Raw genomic sequence first — 22,059 nt, forward strand, 5'->3', positions numbered from 1 at the left:
TAAAATTCCCAGCAAAATAGGCATACAAGGGACATTCCTTAATGTAATAAAAGCCATCTATGACTAACCCACAGCCAACGTAACACTGAATGGGGAAAAGTTGAAAGCATTCCCTCTGAGAAGTTGAAAGCATTCCCGTTGAGAACTGGAACAAGACAAGCATGCCCACTCTCACCACTCCTCTTCAACATAGTACTGGAAGTCCTAGCCAGAGCAATCAGACAAGAGAAAGAAATAAAGGGCATCCAAATCAGTAAAGAGGAAGTCAAACTGCCACTGTTTGCTGATGATATGACCATTTACCTTAAAAACCCTAAAGACTTCTCCAGAAGGCTCCTAGGACTGATAAAATAATTCAGCAAAATTTCCAGATACAAGATTAATGTACACAGATAAGTAGCTCTTCTATACACCAACAGCGACCAAGTGGAGAATCAAATCAAGAACTCAACCCATTTTACAATAGCTGCAAAAAATAATAATAAAATACTTAGGAATATACCTAACCAAGGAATTGAAAGACCTCTACAAGGAAAACTACAAAACACCACTGAAAGAAATAATAGACAACACAAACAAATGGAAACATGTTCCATGCTCATGGATGGATAGAATCAATATTGTGAAAATGACCATACTGTCAAAAGCAATTACAAATTCAATGCAATCCCTATCAAAATACCATGACCATTCTTCACAGAATTGGAAAAAACAATTCTAAAATTCATATGGAACCAAAAAAGGGGCTGCATAGCCAAAGCAAGACTAAGCAAAAAGAACAAATCTGGAGGCATCACACTACCTGATTTCAAACTGTACTATAAGGCCATGGTCACCAAAACAGTGTGGTACTGGTATAAAAATAGGCACATAGACCAATGAAACAGAATAAAGAACCCAGAAATAAACACAAATACTTACAGCCAACTGATCTTCGACAAAGCAAACAAAAACATAAAGTGGGGAAAGGTCACCCTTTTCAACAAATGATGCTGGGACAATTGGCTAGCCACATGTAGGAGAATGAAACTGGATTCTCACTTCTCACCTTCTAAAAAATCAACTCAGGATGGATTAAGGACTTAAACCTAAGACCCAAAACTATAAAAATTCTAGAAGATAACATTAGAAAAACCCTTCTAGATATTGGCTTAGGCAAAGATTTCACGACCAAGAACCCAAAAGCAAATACAATAAAAACAAAGATAAACAACTGGGACCCAACTAAACTAAAGAGCTTTTGCATGGCAAAAGGAACAGTCAGCAGAGTAAACAGACAACCCACAGAGTAGGAGAAAATCTTCACAATCTATACATCTGACAAAGGACTAATATCCAGAATCTACAACAAACTCAAACAAATCAGTAAGAAAAAAAAAAAAACACAACAATCTCATCAAAAAGTGGGCCAAGGACATTACTAGACAATTCTCAAAAGAAGACATACAAATGGCCAACAAACATATGAAAAAATGCTCAACATCACTAATGATCAGGGAAATGCAAATCAAAACCACAAAGCAATACCACCTTACTCCTGAAATGGCCATAATAAAAAAATACAAAAGACAGTGGAGGTTGGCATGGATGTGGTGATCAGAGAACACTTCTACACTCCTGGTGGGAACACAAACTAGTACAGCCGCTGCAAAAAACAGTGTGGAGCTTTCTTAGAGAACTAAAAGTAGAACTACCATTTGATCCAGCAATCCCACTACTGGGTATCTACCCAGAGGAAAAGAATTCATTATTCGAAAAAGATACTTGCACATGCATGTCTATAGCAGCACAATTCATAATTGCAAAATTGTGGAACCAACCCAAATGCCCATCAATCAACAAGTAGATAAAGAAACTGTGGTGTGTATATATATATATATATACACACACACATATATATATATATACACACACATATATATATATACACACATATATATATACGTATATATGTATATATATACATATATATGTGTGTGTGTGTGTGTATATATATATATATACACACACACACACACATACAATGGAATACTGCTTAGCCATAAAAAGGAATGAATTAACAGCATTTGCAGTGACCTGGATGAGATTGGAGACTATTATTTTAAGTGAAGTAACTCAGGAATGGAAAACCAAATATCGTATGTTCTCACTGATATGTGGGAGCTAAGATATGAGGACGCAAAAGAATAAGAATGATACAATGGACTTTGAGGACTTGTGGGGAAGAGTGAGAGAGGGGCAAGGGATAAAAGACTACAAATATGGTTCAGTGTATGTATACTGCTTGGGTGATGGGTGCACCAAAATCTCACAAATCACCACTGAAGAACTTACTCAAGTAACCAAATACCACCTGTACCCCAATAACTTGTGGACAATTTTTTTAAATGACTGAAAAAATACCTAAATGTTAATTAGGATGTAGAAAAATAGAAACTTTCATACATCACTAGTGGGGGTGTAAAATTATTCCAATGGTACCATAGAAAACTGTTTAGCAATTTATGAAAATATTAAATGTGTGTCTGCTATATTTAAAAAAGGTCTCTAGTTGCTCACCTTCATATTTTGTAACTATTTGCCATGTTATGGTGCAGTAGCAAACCATCTATGGCACAGTGCATAGGCCCAACTTTGAGTAGCGCTGTGCTTAAGTACCTGGCTGTGCCTCTTAACCAAATGAAGCATGGCTCTACTGCAGTAAGACCTGCTCCCTCTCACTGGAATTTCTGGGTTTGAGCTGGTCACTGAGCTGTGTGTCCAGCTGCTGTAGACAGTGCAGCTCTCTCAGGGCTGAATGTCCCAGGCATGTGGGACATTACCCCAGTACAGCAAGAGATGAATTTCCAGAGTCCAGAAAGGACTCTGATCGAAAACACCTGCTGTCCTGGGAAGTAGTACCATCTCTGGAAAGGGTCCAGTAAAAACCAGACAGGTCCTTAAACATAAAGGAAACAAGGGTAGCCCTGGCTTCCTTTCTGTCTTCCACAGACTCAAAAACAAAAATACAGAAAAGGTACAGTAGCCTTGGGGTTTGACCACTATTAATTATGAGGGGCACGAAAATGGGAAGTGCTTCGGAAGCAACTGAGATGGTCTCTGGGGAGCAATTTGCCCACTCCCATGTGAGGCCAGTGAGCCACAGCTTAAGGATCACATGTGTCTGTTAGACTTGGGCAGCCCTCAGCCAGGACAGAGGCAGCAAGGCCCAGACCCAGCTCCCGACTCTAGCATTATTTCTCCACAGCTTGACAGGTGGGTGCCTGGGCAAGCATCTGCCCCCTCTTTTTCCTTCCCTTTTCTTGTCTTGTGCTCATTCTCCTCATGCATCCTCAATGGACGTCAAGTGTAAATAGAAGGCTCCGACTCCCAGGTCAGGCGGCTGTCAGGGGTTCCCTCCTTCTCTCTGAAATGCTCACTGTCCCTGCCAACTCTTTATTCTGTACCTGTCAGAGCTGGCTCCCTCCAATGTCTCTATGGACAGATTCCCTCCTCAGTGAAGAGTGTCAGTGACCCAAGAAGTCCCTGGAATCAGGCCGTCTCTCAGAGCAGAGACGGTTTCAGCTGGGGGTTTTTCCTCTCCCTTTCACCAGTCCAGCATTTAGCGTGAGGAACTATTTATGCATGAGGTGGGCCTGGGTGATAGTTATGGGGAAAGGGGTGCTGTGGAAGGATTCTACCAGATACAGGATGCCAGCGTCATCCCCAGTGCCACATCTTGCTACATTCCTACTATTATGGCCCCCATACTGGTCCAGACAGAGCAAGACCCTGGGAAGGTTGGGCATCAGGTAGAGTTGGCTTTTGAAGTCTCCCTCATGTCAAGTGGAGATGTCCAGCCAGTGTGTGAGGAGGGGTGATATGATTTGGCACTGTGTCCCAACCCAAATCTCATTTCCAATTGTAATCCCCAAGTGTCAAGGGAGGGACCTGTGATCTCCGTGTGTTGAGGAAGGAAAGTGATTGGACCATGGCGGTGGTTTCCCCCAAGCTGTTCTCATGATAGTGAGTGTGTTCTCACAAGATCGATGGCTTTATAAGTGTTTGGAAGTTCCTTCTTCATGCTTCTTTCTCCTGCCACCTTGTGAAGAAGGTGCCTGCTTCTGCCATGATTGCAAATTTTCTGAGGCCTCCCCAGCCATGCGGAACGGTGGGTCAATTAAAATTCTTTCCTTTACAATTACCCAGTCTCAGGTAGTATTCTTTATAGCAGTGTGAGAATGGACTAATACAAGGGAAGAGGCAGGTCATTTGTTGACACCATGGGAGTTGACACCATGGGAGTTGTGGTAGAGATTTCTGAGGCAGGCTGTGTGGATCTGAGGCGAGAGTCTGAGAGAACACCCAGTTAGCAAGAGGGAGTAGCAAGAATTTGGAAAGGAGGCTGGAGGGAGACCTTAGAGGAGTAGAGCGGAAACCAGGAGAATGTAGCACTTCATCAGGTCAGAGAGGAGAGGATCAACAGTGTTGTGTTGCCAGGAGATCAAGGAGGCTCAAGCCTGAGGAAGGGAGATGGTTGGTGATTAAGATAGATCCCGAGCACGGTGGCCAGGCATGGCTGTGCACACTGCACACCCCCAGGGGGAGTCGTCTACACCCTCGTCTGTGGGATGGTGACCCCTGGAGTTGTGTAGTGTATAACTTGTGTGGCTACTGGAGACACCCTGCTCATGAGAATCTTATCAGCCTAGGGGTGAAGGAAGAAGCCCCATTATGAGCTGCTGAAGTGTGAGCAGGAGGCATGGTGGAGCTGGAGCAGTGAGGGTGATCTGTGAAAGGAGTTTAGATGTGAAGGAAAGAAAAAGATATAGTGGCTGGAAAGCATATCTGCCTTGAGGGAAAACAACCTTATTTTACACTTGGAAATCTGAGCATGATTTAGCCAAAAGCAACAACAGCAACAACAGCAACCCCACTAAAGTAGGAGAGAGAACAGATAAGGGAGAGCGAAGGGAGAGAGGAATCCATCCATTCAGAAAGCAGTCTTTATTGCCAGCCTCCTGAGTGTCTTCTCATCGTGTGCTGGAATGTAGCTGTGGAGACAAAACAGCTCCCGCCCTCACGAAGCTTATAGTTAGTGACCAGTGACACTATAGATAGGGAGTGAAGGGTGGGTGGGGCGGCGTTGGGTTTGTGGGGCAGGGCAGACTTCTCTGAGGAGGTGACCTTTGAGCTGAGACCTGGATGATGAGAAGGAGCGCACCCTGTGAAGACCATGGGGAGGAGCGTACCTGGCAGAGGCAGTGGCTGGTGCAGCAGTTCCCAAGGTCAGGCAGGAAGATCCCAGCCTGGCTGGGTCAGAGCTGCAGAAAGGGCTGGGTGGTGAGCCTGGGTCAGGCAGGGCCTCTCAGGCTATGGGAAGATGTTTCCATGAGAGTACCGTGACATGTACTCCTCTCTTATGGAGGAGAGGTCACCTACACATGTCACTGTACTCTCATGGAAACCGGAACCTATTGGCTTGGGATCCTCTTGAGATCTGGGATAATCTCATGGCCTGGGATTCTCTTGAGGGTCTCAGTCACCTCCCTATCCTGGCATAGAGTGAAATAACTGAGGCTTGAATGAAAGTCTTCCTCCAAGTCAGCCATCAGAAACATGCCTTATCTGAGTCAGGAAGAGTTTAAATTCATGGCTTCGTAGGAAGGTCTGTGAGTCAGGCCCAAGCTCAGGGCGTTTCTACAGGCCCTTACACATGCTATGTATGTGGGGACAGGGGTGGACTGAGGCATTTCAGTAGTCCTGAGTCACCTCACCCACATAGACACCAGCTGCACTAAACTTTCCAGGTTGATGAGGTTAACTCTGAAGCCCTCCTGCCATTATTTCTGGATCCCTGAATTTCCCTGCAGTGTTCTTTCTCTATCCACACTGTTCGCCTGCTACATCTTGCTGCTCAAGCTTCTTCTTGGGGTACCCCCTTAGCTCAGCTTAAAAATTACATCCCTTATTTTTTAGCCATTCTCTCATCCTCATAAAAATTTCTATCTCCTTAATGCAGACATTAGCAAGAAAGCAATCTAATTGAAAAAATTCATGCTAAGGTGTTGGTATCACCATCACACTCATGGGGGTATTTGATTGTTGAAAAAAGAAAGATATGTGCCCAGATTACAGCATTTACTCAATGCATTGAGGACACACATGTTTGCCAAGGGATGGGCGTTAGAAAGATAAGAGAAAGGTTTAGGAATGGTAAGCCTTCCCAAATCTCCTAAAACCTTGTGCCTAAGGCTAACTTTGTTTCCAGATCCCAAAAGACAGAAAAGACAGTCCTCCACATTTGCAAGCCAAGATCAAGGTAGCTTGATGGTCTGAGGACAGGATAGTTACAAAGCACAGTTAGATTCTTAAGGTGCCTGCGTGCCTACCATTGGGTCAGCCCCAATCTGAAACCAGCTTCTCCGATTGGGGTTAAAATAACACCAAAACAAAACAAAGCAAAACAAAAAAACAAAAAAATAAACAAGGATGAAGCAACATATGTTGGAAACCTACGTGTATGTTATTTTATTTACTCTTCATCACAATCCCATGATCAGATTGTATATTGTCCCATTTTCCAGATGAAACTGAGGCTCAGAAATATTTAGTGATTTTCCCAGGGTCATGCAAATATACTTAAAGCACTGGGATTCAAACCAGGCCTGTCTGACTCCAAAGCTCCATTCCTCCTCCTGTGCCTCAGGGTTAAAACTCTATCCTAAGGCGGTGGCAGCTGTCCCGGCCAGGGCATTCTGAGAGCCACTTGCAGCTCTTCCATTTACCAGGTTGAGATTTACTTCCTGTCTCTGGGCTTCAATTTTCTCATCTAGAAAACTGGGAGACAGACGAAGTTCTTTGAGGTTCCCTTGCAGGCCTAAGCATCACCGTGTTGGGTGATTCTTCCTTTGATAAGTCAGTGTACAGCTCATTTGATGTGCAAATGTCAAAATGTCAGCAGTGCCATGAACCCTTGAGCATTCGGCTCCTTAGAGAGAAGCCTCTTGAAGGGCGGCAGGAGGTGGGCCACCTTGGACCGGCAAGTCCACAGAGGCCTGGAGAGATGTGGTGCACAGGAGAGAGGTAGATCCTCCAGCTAACCCTGGGATTTCCCGGGGAATGGGCATTTGTGTACCTCCTTGTGGACAGGGCCTGAGCCCATGGCCCGATGATCACCTGAGTTTTTACAAGGTGGTTGAGAGTTTGGGTGTGTTTTTCCTCTCTCCTTTTGAAAACCAAGAGGTCAGCGTGAGTGTAATTCTGACACATGAAATCTGCTCCTTGTTTGGAAACACCCTTTTCAAATAAATCTTGAGATGGGATTAAGAGAACAGTTTTGGCTCGTTTTCAGGACTGTCATCTGTTGAACATCTCCCAGCTCATTTGAAGGAAGTGACAGAAGAGAGTGAGATTTCAAATCAGGGAAATTGGCGACAGGCTCTGCTCAAATTGGCCTCCCCACCTCCAGCGTGCAGCCCGCAGAAAACAAAAGCTCCGGAGTAGGAAAGTGACACAGCGCCACCTCCCGGTAGCCTGGCCGGCCAAGGCCTCTGGCTTAAGCGGGCCTCTGGCCTGCCAAAATGCCTGGGGAGGGAAGAGCTGTGTCTCTGCACTCATAAGATGGGAACAGGGGGGTTCTGGGAGCTCCAAACGTTTCAGTTCACAGTGTGTGCAGTCGTGTGTCTTGCGCATACACACATGCACATAGACAGCCAATTTGAACACCGAGGATTAACTTGTCTTAAAGGGGCAACTCTCTCGTCCATCTACTTTTAGGCAGATTTTAAAGACGATCATAGTAGTTAGCATATGGACTTTGGAGCCTGGTTGCCTGGGTTCAAATCTCAGCTTGGCACTTAATAGCTGTGCAACCTTGGCCAACTTACTTAACCTCTCTGTGTCTGTTTCATCTCCTACAGAATAAGGATAATAAGAGTATCAACCTCAGAGGATCACTGCAAGAATTGAGTGGGATACATATGACGTGCTTAGCACAGTTTGTGGCCCATGGTAAGTGCTCAGTATGTATTAGCTATTTTTGGTATTCAATTAAATATAGCTCACACATTTTTTTTTTCTTCTTTACACCCACCTGTTCGGCCATTTCTAACTGCCTGTTGGCTTATACATCCTATGCAGATGTTTCTGGTTCAAGGAAGATAATGCTAAATCCACAGTTTTGCTGAAATAATTGACCCTACCCAAACGCACACCCTAAACTGAATGAACTACTTGGCAGATTTTGAGAAAAATCATCCTTGGGTAACTCCCATGTATTTTTTTTGTTTTTGTTTTCGAGCAGCCTGGCTGTGCAGTTGGGGCAGTTGATGCTTCAGAGTAAACCCAGGAAGGCTTCATGGGCCTGTGGATGATACATACAGCACTCTCAAATGTTGAGCTTCAACTCATGAGGCAATATTAGTCCTGGATTTTCCTACATTTGTCTGTAGATTGCTCCAGGGACACTGGCAGATGAGGAAAGGGTTTCATTTCAAGCCTTCCTGCTACATTTGAGCCAGAAGGTCTCTGGGAAGCTCCTTCATGGGGCCAGACTTGGGATGTGCATCCATCTTGATGGAAAGTTCTCCCAACCTAGAGAAAAGATGGTGAGGCAACAGGCTGCCAAGGTCAGAGGCTGGTCTTTCCCAAAGTCAACCGTAAATCAAAGCCTCCAAGGTGACCGACCACGTGTCACAGACACCAGCTCTGCAGTCTCTGAGCGGGTGGCACAGGGCTTGATGACAGGAGGCCACCCCTTCCCCAGCCCATCTGCTGCTAGGGAAGACCAGCGTGTGGGCTGTTCATTGCCACCAAGGAGGTTTTCCTGCTGTTTACTGAGGTTTAACTCTCCTTGTAAAGGAGGGCCTGGCCCAAACATCTGTTTCATCAAAGGGGTTGGAGTCTTGGAGACACAAAAGCTTCTCTCAGTGGCTCCATTCTATGGCCTTTATCGCTCCCAGAGTCGTCCTATTAATATGCTGAAACAGCCATGACTTTGCCACTATGAACGTGTCTAGGGAGCACAGCCAGGTTTCAGGGTGAGGAAGGAGAGAAAGGGAGAGTCCTTTGAATCCCCTCAGACTTTACACTTGGCTTCCTCTTATGGGTAAGACTTAACCATGACTCACCTGTTTTAGAATGTTTTGTTAGCCAATCCCTGATTTGCTTGAAACCTCCAAAGTCTCAAGAAAATAGCCTCAAGGGAACTTGGAGCTAAGTCGCAATGTCTCAGGCCTAATAAATAAACTGCATATGAGGACAGCACATGATCGAAAGAGCAAATGCCAGACCGGGAATCTTCAGGTCCAGCACTTGGAAGTCACTGGGATTTTTGCAGAAAACCATGAAGCATTAACGTTTTAAGTTTAAAGGATTAAATAGATAATTTAGGGCTACATCTGACTGTGGAGCCCTGGAGTCTCCTGCTATTTATTGGCTATTTAACTCTGCAGTAGTTACTTCACGTCTCTGAAACTCCATTTCCTCATCTGTCAAAGGGACGGAAAATACTGGGGTGAGGACTTAATGACAAATAATATGTTTTACTCCCTCTAGTGCTTGGCACGTAGACACTCAAACAATGGTAACCAAGTAACAAAAGTTTAAGAGAAATGTGTCAGAGAAGAAGCTAACTTGAGAAATGCTTTTCCATTGAAATTATTATTATTTAAAAAGTTTTGTTTTTGTAAATTGGGAAAAGAGTGCCACAGCTTGATGATAGTGGAGTGGCAGACGTGTTGTATGGCCCGGCTAGGGCAGGCGGCCCTGATATATGCAGCGGTGTGGCTTCCTGTGCTAGGTTAGGGTTCTCAACCTTCTCTACCTATGACAACACACCTATCCAGTGGCATGAGGTTGCCCAACCCACTCTCCTCATTGATGACAGGTTCGAATCCTAGCTCGATCACTAGCTTTGCATTATCTTGGGCAAGTAAATGAGTGATATGAATAGTACCTACCTTCCAGGTTTTGGGGGGTGGGTGGGTAACTGTGATTATGTAGATAAAGCACTGAGGACAGTCTTGAGCACAAAATAAATGCTCAATCCAAAAGAAAAAAATGCGTTCATGATTTCTGTATGATTTTCAGCCCCAGCTATAACCCCGTCTTTTTCACTCAGGGAAGCAATTTGGAAAATAACACTGTGATAGGGATACTCTTGAATCTGCTCAAAAATTGCTAAAACTCATTCACACATAGATTTAATCATTATCAGTAACAAATTATTTGTGAATGACTTCATAACTGTTGTAGATCACAAGTCCTCAAACGCAAATGGGTGCCATACTTTTCTCCAGGCTGCGTGAAATCTGCATTTGCTTCAGGTGGCTGCTGTAACAAATTACCACCAACTTGTTGGCTTAAGCCAATACGATTGTATTATCTTACAGTTCTGAAGCTCAGAAGTCCTAAATGGATGCCAGTGGGCTAAAATCAAGGTGTCGGCCGGGCTATGCTTTTTCTGCAGGCTCTAGGGGAGAATTGTTTGCTTGCCTTTTCCAGATTTTAAAGGCTACCTCCTTCCTTGGCTTGTGGCCACATTCTGTCTTCAAAGCCAGCAATGGTCAGATGAGTCTTTACTCCTATGCCATCTCTCTGACTCTTCTCCACTTAAGATGCCTTGTGATTACACTGAGTTCACCCCAATAATCCAGGATAATTGCCCTATTTTAAGATCAGGTGATTAGCAACCTTAATTCCATTTGCAGTTTCTACTTGCCATATGATACAACAGATTCATAGGTTGTAGGAATTAGGATTGTGGACATCTTTGGGGTTGGCAGCTGGGGGCGGCAGTGGGTATGGGAGGGGCATATTTTGGCAACCACATGGGATAACTTTGAATCTGCCAAAATTACTTAAAATTCATTCACACATATTGTTGCTTTAATCATCAGTAACAAATACAGTGAATAACTCCACAATCAATATTGATAAGAGGGCCTCAAATACGGTGGGGGCCATACTTTTCTCTAGGCTACATGAAATGTGAAAAGATAAGATAATATGGCAATTTTTAACTGAAAATAAACTTACTCCATTTAAAGGACTATTCTTTTGGTATTAAAATGTTGGCAGCAGATGATAGTTGGCTTTTAAAATTGTTGACGTACTTGTCAAATATAAAAGTTAGTAAGTCAGTCAAGACCCAAAGGCTTTCTGGGAAGGAGGGGATGTTGCTGTTTTGTGCAATCAAGGGCAGCAGCCATTACGACCTTCCAGGAGGCAGGCCTCCAGCCGACAGTGTGCAGGGCCACAGGACTCTCAGAGCCTTTCCCTTCTCCATACTTTTCCTTCTCCATTCTTCCCAGGGTTTAGAGAGCTTGGAGCCAAAGGACTGGGATCTGAACCCCTCCTCTGACATGGGACAATTCACTCCTCAGTTTTCATCCATAGAATCAGAATGACAGAAAACCCAGCCTGCTCTTCTCACAGGATGGCAAGGAGAACCAAACTAGAAGAGTGCAGTAAAGTGTAAAGTGCTGTACAAATGGGGATGGTTGTTTTTATAGCTGAAACTTACACTCTTAGTTTCTGGATCTTTCTATAATGTTTATTGAGTGGGTGAGAGAAAATGATGAAGGCCCCAGGGGGTACAATTAAGCCTTTAGGGAATAGCAGTTAGAAAAATGCCATTTTCCTCCCTAAAAACGAAAACAAACAAATCTTTAGGGTTTTTTTTTAAATGGTAAAATACACATAACATAAATTTGTCATCTTACGCATTGTTAGGTGTACAGTTCAGCAGTGTTAAGTACATTCATATTGCTGTGCAACCCATCTCCAGGACATTTCCATCTTGCTAGAAGGGAATTCTGTGCCCATGGACAACAACTCCCCATTTTCCACTGTCCTCAGACCCTGGCAACCATCACTCTGCTTTCTGTGTCTATGAATTTGACTAAGTACCTCAAATAAGTGGAATCACGCAGGATTTGTCTTTCAGTGATTGGCTTATTTCACTTAGTGTAATGTCCTCAAGGTTCATTCATATAGTTAGTCTGTGTCAGAATTCCCTTCCTTTTTAACACTGAATAATATTCCACTGTATGTATATGCCACATTTTGTTTATGCATTCATCTGTCCACGAACAACTTGGGTGGATTCCACTTTTCCGCCATTGTGAATGCTGCTGCTATGAGTGTAGGTATACAAATATCTTTTCAAGACCCTGCTTTCAATTCTTTTCGGTATGTACCCAGTAGTGCAATTGCTGGATCATACGGTAATCATATTTTTAATGTTTCAAGAAACCGCCATACTGTTTTCCATAGTGGCTGTACTATTTCACATTTCCACCAACAGTGTACGAGGTTTCTAACTTTTCTATGTCCTTACCAACACTTGTTTGTTTTTTTTGACAGTAGCCATCCCAATGGGTGTGAGATAGTCCTAATTTTACTTTTTTAATCACAAAAGTAATACTAGCTCATAGTAAAAATGTTGAATAGGTGCAGAAAGGCAAAGAAACAAAATTCACCTACTTGCTCCTTACTTCCTCTTACTTCTCAGAGATAGCCACAATTGTATTGATGTCTACCTATTTCTATAGCATACATGCCATTCCATACTTTTAAATTTTCACTTAATAATCTATCTTGGACGTCTTTTTATATTAATCCCTATAGATTGACCTCATTCCTTTTCACAACCACAGAATATTCCAATGTATCAATGGACTATAATTTAAACAACTTCTCAACTTCCTATTAGTGGACACTTAGTTGATTTTCAGAACTTTAAAAAAAAAAAAACAGCAATGAGAGACCATGTAGCAGCAATGATGAGTACAGAGCATGAAGCCCAACTGTTTTGGTTCAAATTCCAACTCTGCTACCTAGCAGCCCTCGAATGTTGGGCAAGTGATTAACCCTCTCTATGCTTCAGTTTTCTCATCTCTAAAATGGGGATGATTATAACAACTACCTCTTAAGGTTACTGCGAGGGTTAAATGAATCAATGTATGTAAAGCTCCTGAAGCAGAAGGTGTGGTGTGCATCAGCTGTTACTTGGTTTTAATCAACCTCCTTGGACATATATATCTTTGTGCATTTTTCTGAGTATTTATTTTATTTTATTTTTTCTTTAACTTTTACTTTAAGTTCAGGGGTACAAGTGCAGGACTTGCAGCGTTTTTTACATAGGTAAATGTGTTCTGAGTATTTATCGTAGGACAAATTGTTAGAAGTCAAATCGCTGGGCCAAAGGGTATAATTTTTTTCTTTCCACATAGACTTTTTTTTTTTTTGAGCAAAATGGTCATTTTCTGGGAGGCTAAAATTGTACAACCTGTGGTGTGACAAATTTGAATGCCAAAAAGTAGCAAATTGTCCTCCAAGAGGGTTGCACCAACACACTAAGATGGCCTTAAGACCCCCAGGCTCTGTCACTTCATGGTCCTCATCACTTTACTCCTGTTTCTGAGTCAAGTCTGTCTTCTCTTCCCTGAACAATGGCCTTGTCCATTACCCCTTTCAGCCCAAAGGGAAGAAATTGGCAGGGAGGGATATGCCAAGCCATGCCCTGGGGCCCTGTTGTGATTGTGGGCCTGGGCCAGGCACTTCCTACTTTGTTGGTAAAAGCTGCTCTGTCTGGGCCCCAGCTCTATCGCTATGTCCTTCCACATGCACATCCACAACCATAGCGAGAAGCCCGGGCCCCCCACCCAGTACCTCTTCCTTCTCTTGAGCCTTAGTCTGATGTCCCTGTGGCCCCATCATAGGACTGAACTAAATATAATGATGCATTAAAGCCTACCAAGCCACTCTGAAAGGGGATCTCATTTTCTCAGGCCCTGTTGGTCTAGTGGTTCTCTCTAGAAATATATCTTCATTGTATTTGTTGATTCCAAAAGCAGTGCATACTCCTTGTAAAACAAATCAAGCAATACAGAGGAATGAATCAAGGTCAAAGCAAAAGTTTCCCATTATCTCATGTTCCCAGAAATAATCACTGTTAGTAGTTTGTTAAATATTCTCCCAGACTTTTTAAAAACATGCATATTTAAAAATGCAATTATATTACATACATTCTATAACCCTCTTTTTTCACTCAACAATGGACATCTTTCCATGTCAATATGTGAATCTATTTTATCTTTTTAAATAGTTGCATGATATCCTGGAAGTCTCTTTTTCTTGGCCTTGGTTTCCTAACTTTCAAAGGGTTCATTCCCCTTTGAGGAGGTGTGTGGCATGGTAGAAAATGTATCAGACTGGGAGTTGGAAGATGGATTCTTGACTAAACTTACTGTGTGCCCTTGAGCAAGTAACTTGCTTTCTCTCTGTTAGAAATGGAACAGGATTATACATGTGAGAGTACAAACCTACTTTAAAATACACAGATGCGCCTGTAATCTCAGCACTTTGGGAGGCCGAGGTGGGAGGATCACTTGAGGCCAGGAGTTCGAGACCAGCCTGGCCAACATGGTGAAACCCCATCTCTACTAAAAATACAAAAATTACCCGGGCGTGGTGGTGGGCGCCTGTAATCCCAGCTACTCAGGAGGCTGAGACAGGAGAATCACTTGAACCCAGGAAGCAGAGGTTGCAGTGAGCCGAGATCGCGCCACTACATTCCAGTCTGGGTGACAGAGTGAGACTCCATCTCAAAAAACAAACAAACAAACAAAACCAGATGTATTATTCTCATAAGACCAAAATTAAGTCTGGGTTAGATGAGGACTTAACACAAGATGGTCTAGCACTTGTATGGTCATCATGGCTTTTGGTGATCGCCAGGGGAGAGCTGCTTCTGTTTTTCCCAACAATAGAACTGTCTGAAGACCATGGGGAACCCAGACCCACACTTGCTGGGTGTCGCACTAGAAGAAGAGCAGAACTTATCTGCCTTGCAGCCTTGGTTCTCAGGGAAGGGTGCTGACCTGCCCAAGGTCAAAGCAGGTCCAGAAAGGCCACAGTCCTGGCTCGGTGCTCTCCCAGCTCCTGCATGTAGCCTGTCCTGTAGAAAAGAGAGGATAGATCTGGCCAGAGCTGGGGCTGTGGGCAAAGAGGACTGGATGCTCTCTTGGCAACATCATCCAAGGCTCAAGGACCAGGTACCCTCCAGGGGGAGTTGGGGGAGGGTGCTGGTCCAGAGATTTGGAATCTGGTACTTTTCTGCCTCTAACTTTGGTCAAGTCACAGTGGACTTTACAGTTCTTATCTATAAAATGAAGGGGTTGGGAGGTATGATATCTAAGAACTTTCATTCATTGGTTCAACCAATATTCAACCAACTGCCTGCCACTAGTTAGGCACTGTTCAGCCCTTGAAGATGAAATAATTTTTAAAAGTGAACATTTACATAGCATTTACTATGCCAGACACTGCCTTAAGAATTTATACATAATATAAATATAATATAAAAGATATTATAATTATTATACTATGATTATATCAATATATTATAATTATAATATTATATAATATATTATAATATAATTATATTATTATAATTATTTTATAATATAATCATAATTATAATATATACATAAATGTTATATTATATATCTAATCATTTAACCCTTAATCTTTTATGACTCTATAAGGTAGGTACTATTAGTATTACCATGTTGTAGATGAGGACACTGAGACAGAGAAGTCAAGTTCCTTGTCTAAGTTTACAGAGTGAATAAGGAGAGGAGCCAGGATTGGAACCCAGCACCCTAGCTCACGGCTACACTCTCAACCTCTAGGGTCCTCACCCTCATGAGACTCACAGCCTAGCGATAATGCTCCTCCCATTTATTGAACACCTACATGTTCATCTATACCAAGCATGTTACACTCCTTGTTTCATTTAATTCTTATAGCAACTCCATGAGGGAGAGAGTAATACCCCATTATATAAATGAGAAAATTAAGGCTCCAAAAGGCCACAATGCAGCTTATAAGTGACAAGGATGGCACTTGATCCCAGGTCTGTTTAACTCCAGAGTCTGGGCTGTGAAACACTGTGCTGTTCTGTTCTCTAATCCAACCTTTTGACATAGCTGAAACTGAGACAAGGCCTGGGGGTCTGAGTCTGGGCAGCCATGGGCTGCCTGGTCGTCCCTGCTGGCCTAGGTGGATTTTCCTCTGGGGCCTGGGTTCTCTCACTCGCTGGCTCTGGGGTCCTGGGGTCCGCAGGAGACGGAGAGCAGGCTCCCCTTTCTTAGCATCCCAGGCTATCTCCGGGATGAACTCCTGCTGTAGCAGCCTCAAGTGGACATGGAGAAGAGGCCACTCCCATGCTGTGGCTTCAAAGCCTCTCCCATGGGCTATTGCCGAACATTCCTCTGTTGCTTCTTATAAGTCACCAAGCAACCACCCCACCCAGAAGAGTTGCACTTCGTCTCCAGTGTAAAAGGCCTCCTTAGACCTCTTCCTGAGATGAGAGCAAGTTCCGGGGCTCAGGCCCTAAGAGTCCTGCATAGACTCCCAGGGAAAGGGGAGTCTTTTCTCGAACAAGGAGCTGTACGGGTGGGCACAAGTTCTGATCCCACTGAGGGTTTCAGTAAATGTTTGGATGAACATAGGGATGGATAAATTATCTAATGGACTAATGAATGAATGAATCAAAATGAACTCAGAAATGAAAGGATGCACAAAGAAATGAATCCATCAGCCTGTGAAGGAATGAATAAGCCCCAGGGCGGCCCTGTGGCCTCAGCCTCAGTCTGGGTCCCCAGGTGAGCACTTGAGTGAAGGGAGGAAGTTTCAGAACAGGACAAAATTGCAGCATCCATAACTCTCCCATCTGAGATGCCAAGAGGAGGAGCCCCTGGCATCTCCTAGGCATTCCCCGTCTGGAGTCCTCTGGCAAAAGTGTCCCTCACCTGCCCTCTCTGCCATGAGGACTGGCTTAGAGGGAAGCTCAGAGCTCCCTCCCATCGGTGCCCAGTGGAAGGAGAGCGGCACCAGCCCGGTGTGAAGGAAGGGTCCTCACCCACTCCCTTCCCCCTCTGGGAAGCCACACAGAACTCCAAGTTAATTAAAGCCTCCACTCTGAGAAGAAGGGAATGTTCCATTTGGTAAATTTAGAAACAGCTGGTTAGTTTTACCCATTACTTTTGTGCTAACATCAGTGGAGCTCATTCAACTCTGTCTTTTTATGAAGCTGTCCTTCCAATGCTACCTGATAGCTACTAATTGCTGCAACTACATTTCTGAATTGCAAATTTTCTGCACTGATAAAAACTTTGATTGCCTGTCAGCTACACATAAGGAAAAGATCAGCAGTGCTAAATGAGGGGTTCCACGCTTGGATAATAATGCCTAATGAATTATTCAGGAAAGAATGCTTGAATGAAGCAAACAATTTGAAGGGTTACTAGCAGCCGTAACAGTTCAACAGGCAAAAGAACAAAAGTATCATCCTGAACATTACACTAATGATTAAAAAATGTGTATTAATTCTAGATTTGGAGAAAAAAGAAATGCCAATCTGATTTTAAAGGTTAATCATTATTTTCTCAGTAATGCTCTGATCTCTGGTGGGGAGGGTGGTGATGAAGGGGGAGAACCCTTTACCAATATTTTGGGATGTATAATATTATGACATAATAGAGTCATATAATTTCACACACGTCATTTAAAAATTGTAAATTTCAAATTTCATTGGAAAAGATAACGCAAAAAACTAACAGCGTGGGAGCAGAATGCTCACTTGAGAGAACTTTGCTGAGTGCAGGCTGAACCAGCGCCAAGGACCCCCTCCCTGAAGCGAGGGGCCCTGCAGAAATGGCAAAATGAAATAAGATATATATGTGATTAAACATATGCAAATACATATCATAATTAGTGACTCTTTCTGGCGGAATCTGAATGTGTTTTACATATTTTGCAAGTACGCTGTTGATGCAAATGAAAAATTCTTTCAAAAGCTTCTGCCTATTGGGTCTGAAACCCTAGAAAACAAACCAATAAATCAGGTTTCAGCTTCTGTCCGATACTGACACATTTGCTGCTTTCATAAAAAATATATTTCTACCACCCAAAGTGCTAATTTGTTTTGACAGATGCTGTGGAGTTGCCAAATATGAGGGGGTGGGGGGAATCCTGGAAACTGTAATGCAAAATAGTATAATTAAAGATGTTAAAAAATACGAATGTAACTACTGTGATATTACGATGTAACTGAATATTTAAAAATAGCTCTTCAGGGTTGTGCTTAAAAAATCTCCAGGCAATCAAGATCACCTGGAGAGTATCTAAGAAAGCTGTGGTGTACGTGTGGAACTGGAGGAATTTTAAGAGTAGTTTTAAATTATGGAATATGCAGCCGACCACTTAACAGCCTCAATGAGATTTTTTTTTCCAGCTTAAAAGCCCATGGTATTAGACATCAATTAGTAATTTTATTATAAAGATGTTCAATGTCAAGATAACACTCTTCGTTCCTGGCATTGATGCTGCACAGTGGCTTGGAAGTCTGACTTCAGGAGAAGAGCTGACCATCTGCCAGAGCCTGCACACTCACAGATGACTAATGTTTTCCCCGGAGGACTGTGGCTCCCTGCGTTTCTGTTGCTGTCTTTTCGATATCAAAGCAAGGCTGATAAACACATTCAAGTCACAATTAAAAAACATTTTCGCTGACCAGTTGCCACCGATGATATCATCGGACAGCTTCGGTCACTGTTGTAACAACGCATTTCATGGTGTTGATGTGCAGGCAAGATGAAGTTTCCCTTTATTTGGTCCTTAACCTAGCTCTGCAATTCTTTAACGACATTTCCAGGCACTTGGAGTCTTGCATGGAAATGCCATTTGGTCTAAATCAGGTAGAGAGACACAGGGAGAATGCTGGGATTTTTCAGGCCAAGGCCCCATCCAGGAGGATCCATCTAAGCTGGGACTCACTGAGGGAGGTACTTTGTAGGGGGTTCAGACCAATGCCAGTCAATGAGCTTTTTGACTGTTGCTACCCTGCGTTGTCACTAAATTCAACCTAGAATGAAAAACAGAATGCTATACATTTTTCTGGATATGAAAAAATCAGATTATCCAGCTGTGACGCCTAGAAGCTTTATAGAAAAGTCATAGACACTTAGTTTAAAGCAAGAGTCATCTAACTGGACCTCAGGATATTTTTGCATGATGAATGGTGGGAGGAGAAATTGGTTGATCGGAGCATCTACTACCACTTGTTAATCTCCATGCTAAACACTGTTCAGGTATTTTATGCAACTACACATGCCACTCCACAACAAACTAGGAGGTATATAGTATCATTTTCTCTATTTTACAGAAGAAAAAGTTGATGCCTAGAGAAGTTATTTACCCAAAGTCACACAATGGTAGCACTAGGATTTGAGCCCGCATATGATGTCAAGACTTACGCACTTAATCAATCAGCACTACACCTTTAGGGTCACAGAGGAGGCTGTTAGAGCTGGAGGAAGACTCAGAGGTCATCCATTTCCTTATTTTGCAGGAGAAACTAGGGCTCAGAGATGTGGAAAGGGGAGCCCACGTCATGTTGCTAGCTGGTGTTCGGGCTTAACTGGAGCATCATGGGTATGAATTCTACTTGGTCTTACCTATGAGCCACCTCAGGATTTCCTGGGCTTTGTCCAGCCTTGCCTGAGAGTTCTACACTTCCCTCCGTGGTCTCAGCATTTTCAGACTCTGAGAGTCCTGGGACACCGCCTGGGTCTTGTATCAACCTCCCACACTTCACGGCCATGGAGTTCTTAGAACGCTATCTACCACAGATATCCTGGGCAGAGTACGTCCAGGACTCATGGGAGAATGTGCCTTATTGTTGGCTCTCTGAAGGGGAAATCTCCATGTTTCGCTTCAGAACAGAGTCAATGTGCCAACCAGGAAAGAGAGGGTTTGGGTTTGATAAGACCTGAAGAAAACTTGTTCTGCAATGGGGTGGTCAGCAGAGATGGGAAGTTGCCTGGTGTAGACAGAGCCCTGGGTTTTGATTTGGAGTCTTGGTCCTGCCACAAAGACAGTGTGATGAAGGCAAGTCACTTTGCTTCTCTGAGCTCTAGCTTTCCTCTGTAAAATGAAGAGGCCGAAGGCTGAACCCTGCCCAGTCTTCTATACCAATGTATTCGAGATCATTTGGGTCTGGAAGCCTATTAAGACCCAGGTCTTTCAGGACTTTCTCAGCAGAAGATTCTGGTTTTGGTTTCCATTCATGATACTTAGAGGCAGTCTTCTTCTCAATTAGAAATTCCAGGAGGAAAAGCAAAATGTGACCTTCTCCAGAGCCTGAGAAGTACCTTCTGCATTCCTTTTTTTTTCTTTTTTTTTAGTATTTATTGATCATTCTTGGGTGTTTCTCGCAGAGGGGGATTTGGCAGGGTCACAGGACAATAGTGGAGGGAAGGTCAGCAGATAAACAAGTGAACAAAGGTCTCTGGTTTTCCTAGGCAGAGGACCCAGCGGCCTTCCGCAGTGTTTGTGTCCCTGGGTACTTGAGATTAGGGAGTGGTGATGACTCTTAACGAGCATGCTGCCTTCAAGCATCTGTTTAAGAAAGCACATCTTGCACCACCCTTAATCCATTTAACCCTGAGTGGACACAGCACATGTTTCAGAGAGCAGGGGGTTGGGGGTAAGGTTATAGATTAACAGCATCCCAAGGCAGAAGAATTTTTCTTAGTACAGAACAAAATGGAGTCTCCCATGTCTACTTCTTTCTACACAGACACAGCAACAATCTGATTTCTCTATCTTTTCCCCACATTTCCCCCTTTTCTATTCGACAAAACTGCCATCGTCATCATGGCCTGTTCTCAATGAGCTGTTGGGTACACCTCCCAGACAGGGTGGCGGCCAGGCAGAGACGCTCCTCACTTCCCAGACGGGGTGGCGGCCGGGCAGAGGCTGCAATCTCGGCACTTTGGGAGGCCAAGGCAGGCGGCTGGGAGGTGGAGGTTGTAGCGAGCCAAGATCACACCACTGCACTCCAGCCTGGGCAACATTGAGCACTGAGTGAACGAGACTCCATCCACAATCCCGGCACCTCGGGAGGCCGAGGCTGGCAGATCACTCGCGGTTAGGAGCTGGAGACCAGCCGGGCCAACACAGCGAAACCCCGTCTCCACCAAAAAAATACGAAAACCAGTCAGGCGTGGCGGCGTGCGCCCGCAATCCCAGGCACTCGGCAGGCTGAGGCAGGAGAATCAGGCAGGGAGGTTGCAGTGAGCCGAGATGGCGGCAGTACAGTCCAGCTTCTGCTGCGCATCAGAGGGAGACGTGGAAAGAGAGGGAGAGGGAGACCGTGGGGAGACGGGAAAGGGGGAGGGGGAGGGGGAGCGGGAGGGGGAGGGGGAGAGGTAGAGGGAGAGCCCTTCTGCATTCCTTAAGAGCTTTCAAGTCATTCTTGGGTTCAGTCCTTATATCTGCTGGGAATAATTAATCTAGGACTATTCGCTTCAGAGCCCCGAGCTGTAACATGGGATCTCAGGAGCAACTGAAGCACTCAGCACTTTCTGAGGAAAATTACACCAGATGAGACACTAAATCTCTAAAATTCAACTTAGAAATGTGCTTTATTCTCAGGAGTTTTGTCGCCAAGTGCTGGTAATGGCAAGGAAGTGGGGGGTGTTGAGAAGAAGTGGGGAGAAACAGGGACAAAAAGAAGCCAAAACAGTCAAGAAACAGGAGACAAAGGAAACTCAGGCCAAGGCACAGCTGGGTGTTTCCTTTCTTCTAATTTCTGTCCTCTTTGTAAATGTCTGATTGCATCAAACTGTCATCAATAGTAGTCAACATTGATCACATTTCCACTACATGTCCAGCATGTGCTGAACACTCTACATATATTATTTCATTTAATACAACAACCCATTGAGGTAGGTAACGCTATTAATCTCCATTCTACAACTGTGGGACAGAAGGACAGAGATGCTGATAAACTTGCCCCAGTACACTTCGTTAGCAAGTGGCAGAGGCAGAGGCGGGAGTTAAACCAGGCAGTCTGGCTTTAGAACCCAGTGTAACCACGAGGCTCTCCCACCTTCAATAAAGTGACACCCACATAGATTACTTTGTCAGGTGTAGAATCCCTCACATTTCACACACACACTCAGTAAGCTCTCAACTGTGTTCCAGGCCTGACCACGACTAGGC

The 22,059-nt window shown here is 43.9% G+C and overlaps 1 annotated feature.

The window, feature by feature from the left end:
- Nucleotides 16,814-17,663: an enhancer, noted in NCBI's record as "VISTA enhancer hs855". NCBI's record gives its function as "enhancer in: forebrain[6/9]" and the evidence as "EXISTENCE:transgenic organism evidence [ECO:0001131][PMID:17130149]".

Source organism: Homo sapiens, chromosome 11, assembly GCF_000001405.40.
Source record: "Homo sapiens chromosome 11, GRCh38.p14 Primary Assembly".
NCBI classification, from domain to species: domain Eukaryota; kingdom Metazoa; phylum Chordata; class Mammalia; order Primates; family Hominidae; genus Homo; species Homo sapiens.